This window comes from Homo sapiens, chromosome 6 (assembly GCF_000001405.40).
Source record: "Homo sapiens chromosome 6, GRCh38.p14 Primary Assembly".
NCBI lineage: Eukaryota > Metazoa > Chordata > Mammalia > Primates > Hominidae > Homo > Homo sapiens.
In genome coordinates, this window is record NC_000006.12 from 15,003,970 (window position 1) to 15,009,969 (window position 6,000).

The 6,000-nt window shown below is 41.6% G+C and overlaps 1 long non-coding RNA gene across 1 annotated transcript in view; it reads right to left on the minus strand.

Annotated features, from left to right (window-relative positions):
- LOC105374945 (uncharacterized) overlaps window positions 1-5,115 on the minus strand; it is a 148,669-nt gene extending 143,554 nt beyond the window's left edge. The window contains exon 1 of the long non-coding RNA XR_007059473.1: window positions 4,956-5,115. This is a non-coding gene — a long non-coding RNA (uncharacterized LOC105374945). The remainder of the gene's footprint in view (window positions 1-4,955) is intronic.
- Between the last annotated feature and the right edge of the window lie 885 nt (window positions 5,116-6,000).

The following is a 6,000-nucleotide window of genomic DNA, read 5'->3' on the forward strand; positions in this document are numbered from 1 at the left end:
GATGTCAGGGTCAACAGTATAACAGGGTAGACTTTGTAACATACCATATCCCCTCAAGTTGACCAGTAAATAACCAGAACTCACATCACATGTTTTTAGTCTTAAATGGAATGTATATAATGGACTTATCTTATGAAAATAATTGCATGATTTAGTATGTAAATAAGTCTTGTGTGTTTGTAAAGCTTTAGTCGTATGGAAATATTTACCAGTCCTACCCACAAGTTAAAAACAAACAAAAGCTGAAGTTTTCTTATACAAACTTTCAACTAATTTCAATAAGAAATGGGAATACAGGTTGAGTATCTCTTATCCAAAATGCTTGGGACCAGAAGTATTTCGGATTTTGAATTTTTTCAGATTTTGGGGTATTTATATATACATAATATATACATATTATATACATAATATCTACATAATACTATTTTTTATATATTATGTATATATTATGTGTATATATTATATATTATTTATATAAATTATATAATATATAAATATATACAATTATATATATTATTTATATAAATTATATAATTATATAATATATACACATAATATATACATAATGAGATATCTTGGGAATAGAACCCAAGTCTAAACACAAAATTTATTTATGTTTCATATACACCTTATACACACAGCCTGAAGGTAATTTAATACAATATTTTTAATAATTTTGTGCATAAAACAAAATTTACATTAAGCAATTAATATGTGGAATTTTCCACATGTGGCATCATGTTGGCGCACAAAAGTTTTAGATTTTGGAGCATTTCAGATTTTGGATTTTCAGATTAGAGATGCTCAACCTGTATCTGTATAATTCTAGTGAATCACTATTCAATCTCATCTGTAAGCCTATATTACCATGAATATCTGAACAAAGGTTAATAAGGATAGTAAGTACTTTCAAATGTACTAATCTTCATGGCTAGGGCAAACTGTTTTTTTTACACTTTTTTTTTTTTCAACATAGAGTCTTGCCCTGTCGCCCAGGCTGGAGTGTAGCAGTGAGATCATAGCTCACTGCAGCCTCAACCCGCTATGCTCAAGCGATCCTCCCACTTCAGCTTCCCAAGTAGCTGGGATCACAGGTGTGCACCACCAAGCCTGGCTAATTATTATTTTTTTTTTTGTAAAGATGAATTCTCACTATGTTGCCCAGCTGGTCTCGAATTCCTGCGCTCAAGTGATCCTCCTGCCTCAGCCTCCCAGAGTGCCGGGACTACAGGTCTGAGCCACTGTGCCTGGCTACATACATGTTTTACATATACTTTCCTCTGTTATGTTTATGCAAATATCTCCCATTAGCATGGAAAGTATGGAAGTCTGACTTCTAGAAATAGGAGATAACTGAACCAGAATTCCCTAAGAACTGTGAACATTTTTAAACATATTCCCAAGGGTCAAGTCTCATCATCCTTGAGTGTCATTCAAGGTTAATTTTATTGAATACAACAGATGATGAAGCTAATAGTGGAAACAAACCAACAAAGCTGATGTTCTTATGTAAATAATAAACTGGTTCTCAAGGTAGTCATGTTAAATTAAAGGAAATGATATATTGCTTCTCGGCCTTTTGACTAAGATCAAGTGCAAAGGAAATGATATGTTGTTGCCTTTCAAGGTGATTACTTTTGAAGGTAAAACCATATAAATGTTGTTCTGTTTAATTTGGCTATGTTTTTGAAAGTCTCGTTGCTTTATAAATAGATAATAATTATGTATTGTGTGCGATGAGTGCTTTCCTAGTGCCAGCCATTTTGCTAGACACTTTGATGGGAATTTATCATCTCAACCTCACAAAAGTCTGTCTCCATCCCCTGTGCAGAATCCAAAAGTTGTCTGCCAGAGATCCATTCTTTCCTTATTCCTTAGAAGAGAGTCCCTATTTTATGTGAAACTTCAAGGCTCCTAACTGAAGCACTAATTTATTTATTTATCTTTTATCTATTTGTTTATTTTGAGATGGAATTTCGCTCTTGTTGCCCAGGCTGGAGTGCAATGGTGCAATCTCAGCTCACTGCAACCTCTGCCTCCCCGGCTCAAGCAATTCTCCTGCCTCAGCCTCCCGAGTAGCTGGGATACATCCCAGGTACACACCACCACACCTGGCTAATTTTTGTATTTTTAGTAGAGATGGGGTTTCATCATGTTGGTCAGGCTGGTCTCGAACTCCTGACCTCAGGTGATCCACCTGCCTCGGCCTCCCAAAGTGCTGGGATTACAGGCGTGAGCCACTGGGCCCAGCCCTAAAGCACTAATTGACCAGTTCACCTGGTGATTAGCAGTGGCCAACAGGATGGAAACAGAAGTTGTTGAGTGACACCTCCAGAAGAGAAGAGAGACAGATTGATGGCATGCATGCCCTCTTTGTCCATTCCAATTTTTCTGCTGCCTGGAGTATGGATGAGATGGTTTGAGCTCCAACTGTCATCTTGTAATTTGTGGATGAAGATTACAAACTAAAGGTAGCAGAGGATGAAGATAAAAGAAACCTGGGCCTCTGGTACAATCAAGGAGCTGCCAACCCAGCCCCTGGCTGTCTACCACCAGAATTATTTCATACAAGAAAAAAATTAACTTATGTGACTAAGCCACTATTCTTTGGGATGTTTTGTTCTATGTTGTTTAACCTAATTATAACCGAGACACCTTCCCTTCATCTTACATGTAAGAATATTGAGGCCAGGCATGGTGGCTTATGCCTGTAATCCCAATACTCTGGGAGGCCATGGTGGGAGGATAACTTGAGGCCAGGCGTTTGAGACCAGCCTGGGCAACATAGCAAGACCTCGTCTCTACTAAAAAAAAAAAAAAATCAAAAAAAGATTAGCCAAGTGTGGTGATGCCTGCCTGTTGTCTCAACTACTCAGGAGGCTGAGACAGGAGGGTTGTTTGAGCCCAGGAGTTTGAGGGTACAGTGAGCTGTGATGGTGCCTCTGCATTCCAGCCTGGGCAACAGAGTGAGACCCTGTCTCAAAAAAGAGAGAGTGTTGAGACTTACATATAAGAGAATTGAGAATTGAGTAGCTTGTCTGAGGTCCAATAGCCAGTGGAGAGCCTGGATTCAACCCAGGCAATCTTAAGAAAGAAATTCACAGCATTTGTCCATTCACTTCCATTTAGCCCCAATACAATGCTATAAAATCACAGAAGTGGTTGAAGGTAAAGTAAGGTAGACTGTCTTAAAATCCAATGTACTGGGTCTATGGATTACTGACTAAGCATATAATTTACCTACTACGTAAGTTCATGAAATTGATGTAAAGACTATTATTCGATACTAAAAGTCCACTCCTCTTGCACAACAAATTTCAGAAATGACTTATCAGCAGGCCAAGAATGTTCTCAGACCACAAAACTAAGTCCCTGTATCCCCCTCCAAGGATATGCATGTCTCTATGGATGAAGCCATGTTGCCAATCCAGGCCTTCTTCACAACAGGATAACTCTCAATTTCCTGGATTTTGTGACTGATGGGGAAAGGAAGACATAAGTCAGCTGTGATATGCTCAAGATATTCTGCACCTGCGATTAAATAATGGTCATGCGTGTAAGAGCTATATTCCATTCATAGCAGAATACCAGGGAGGCACAGTTTTCCATGTGAAACCACATTCTCCCATGACTTCAGATGAAAGCCAAGGGCAGCCAAAGGATCATGTATGGTTTCACTGCCCAACCAAAAGGAAATTCTACAGTAACCACCACATTTCATTTTGCTGATTAGAATAAACCCCAAACAGTTTCATTAAAATTAAGGCCTATAATTGCATGGGGAAAATGGCCAGATTGCAATATGGGCTATTCTGTCTGCCCAGACATACGCAGTGATAATTGACATAGGCCACCACCTAATCACCAGAGTCAACCAGATCATGAAATCACTGAAAGAGACAATGACCAGTTCAGAGCTGAGTGCAGAAAGATCAAAATTCAGGGGCCTGCTCCTACAAAAACAAAGTAATTGCTAAGCAAATACCACGGAAACTCAGTCAGGGCCTGGGGAACCATGGAAGGCTACACAGCTAAATTTTTTTGTTTAGGAGGTTTGAATTGTCTTTTTTTTTTTTGAGATGGGGTCTTGCTCTGTCACCCAGGCTGGAGTGCGGTGGCACTATCTTGGCTCACTGCAACCTCTGCCTCCTGGGTTCAAAGGATCCTCCTGAACCTCCGCCTCCAAGTAGCTGGGATTACAGATGCCTGCCACCACACCCAGCTAATTTTTGCATTTTTAGTAGGGACAGGGTTTCACCATGTTGGCCAGGATGGTCTTGAACTCCTGACCTCAAGTAATCTGCCCACCTCAGCCTCCCAAGGTGCTGGGATTACAGGTGCAAGTCACCATGCCCAGCCTGAACTGCATTTCTAAACCTTTGTGCTGGGCATCCCTTTCATCCTTCTAGATCACCCTTCTCTACACAAAAGGCTGATCTGTAAGGATGACATCAAACAGCTCTCTTGTCCCTGGCTTCTGATTGGGTTTGGCAAATAGGGAGCTCCAGCAGGTGATAGAGGGAGAGAGGACAGTCAGCTCAGGGTGTTGGTTCTACTTAGTCATTGTGAGCTGGCTGAGCCTCTCAACTGGGGTCCATGGCTCTTGTCAGGCAGTCCTCCCTCTAGAGCCATCTAGCTCTCTCCAGGCTCCAGTGTCTTTCTCTTTCCTCACTCTGTCCACCCTCAGAATGGTAACTCTGCCCACCGCTATCTACCCTGGCACACCGCGCTCTCCATAGGGCTTCCAACACCCTGTCCTGCCCCAACTTCATAAACTCTCCTCAAATGACCCAGTTGGTATACGCCTTTCATTTCCTGTAAGAGCCCTAACATGACTTCTGAGCAGATGCGAACAGATATATGGAAATCCAGAGACCCCTGGACTGAGGGTTAGTGGACCTTCAGGGATTCCAGCAGCATTCCACCATGCTCATCCACGTGGCAGGATGACATACCCAATTTATCTGCTCTTGACCTTCTCTTGGATAAAACAAAGGGCTGAAGCCAGGTGCAGTGGCTCATGCAGGTAATCCCAGCACTTTGGGAGGCCGAGGTGGGTGGATCTCTTGAGATCAGGAGTTCTAGACCAGCCTGGCCAACATGGTGAAACCCCGCCTGTAATAAAAATACAAAAATTAGTCTGGGCGCAGTGGCTTATGCCTATAATCCTAGCACTTTGGGAGGCTGAGGCGGGTGGATCACTTGAGGTCAGGAGTTTGAAACCAGCTTGGCCATCATGGTGAAACCCCATCTCTACTAAAAATACAAAAAGTTAGCTGGGCATAGTGGTGCGTACCAGCTAAATTGGGAGGCTGATGCAGGAGAATCACTTGAACCCAGGAGGCGGAGGTTGAGGTTGCAGTGAGCCAAGATCGTGCCACCACACTCCAGCCTGGGCAACAGAGCAAGACTCCATCTCAACAACAACAAAAAAAACCTAGCTGGGTGCTGGTTGTGGTGGCGGGCACCTGTAATCCCAGCTACTTGGGAGGTTGAGGCAGGAGAATTGCTTGAACCCAGGAGGTAGACGTTGCAGTGAGCCAAGATCGCACCACTGCACTCCAGCCTGGGCGACAAAGTGTTTAAAAAAAAATTAATTAATTTAAAAAAAAAGAAAAAACAAAGGGCTGAAATGGTCTCAACAATCCTGTCGGATATAAGATCATTCTACAGACCTTTTTTACCTGCCCTACCCGTCCTCCTTTCTCTTCCTCGTGACTTCTCCTTTCACACACAGCTTCCTCCCCCATGAACACCACACAAACCAAACAGAAACCCAGGGACAGTACAGAACAATTAGGGTTAGAAAGGAAACAAATAAAATCACTTTTTTCTCCTCACACATCTTAATCTCAGAGCCACTACAAAATTAGACTCAGCAAATTCCACTTGAAATTTTAATATGACTATAAAACTATTTGGCAATGTGATAATTGGCATAAATTAGAACTTCATAGTTAAACAGAACAGTTGAACAGTTCAGGTTAAAATTGCTTTTGA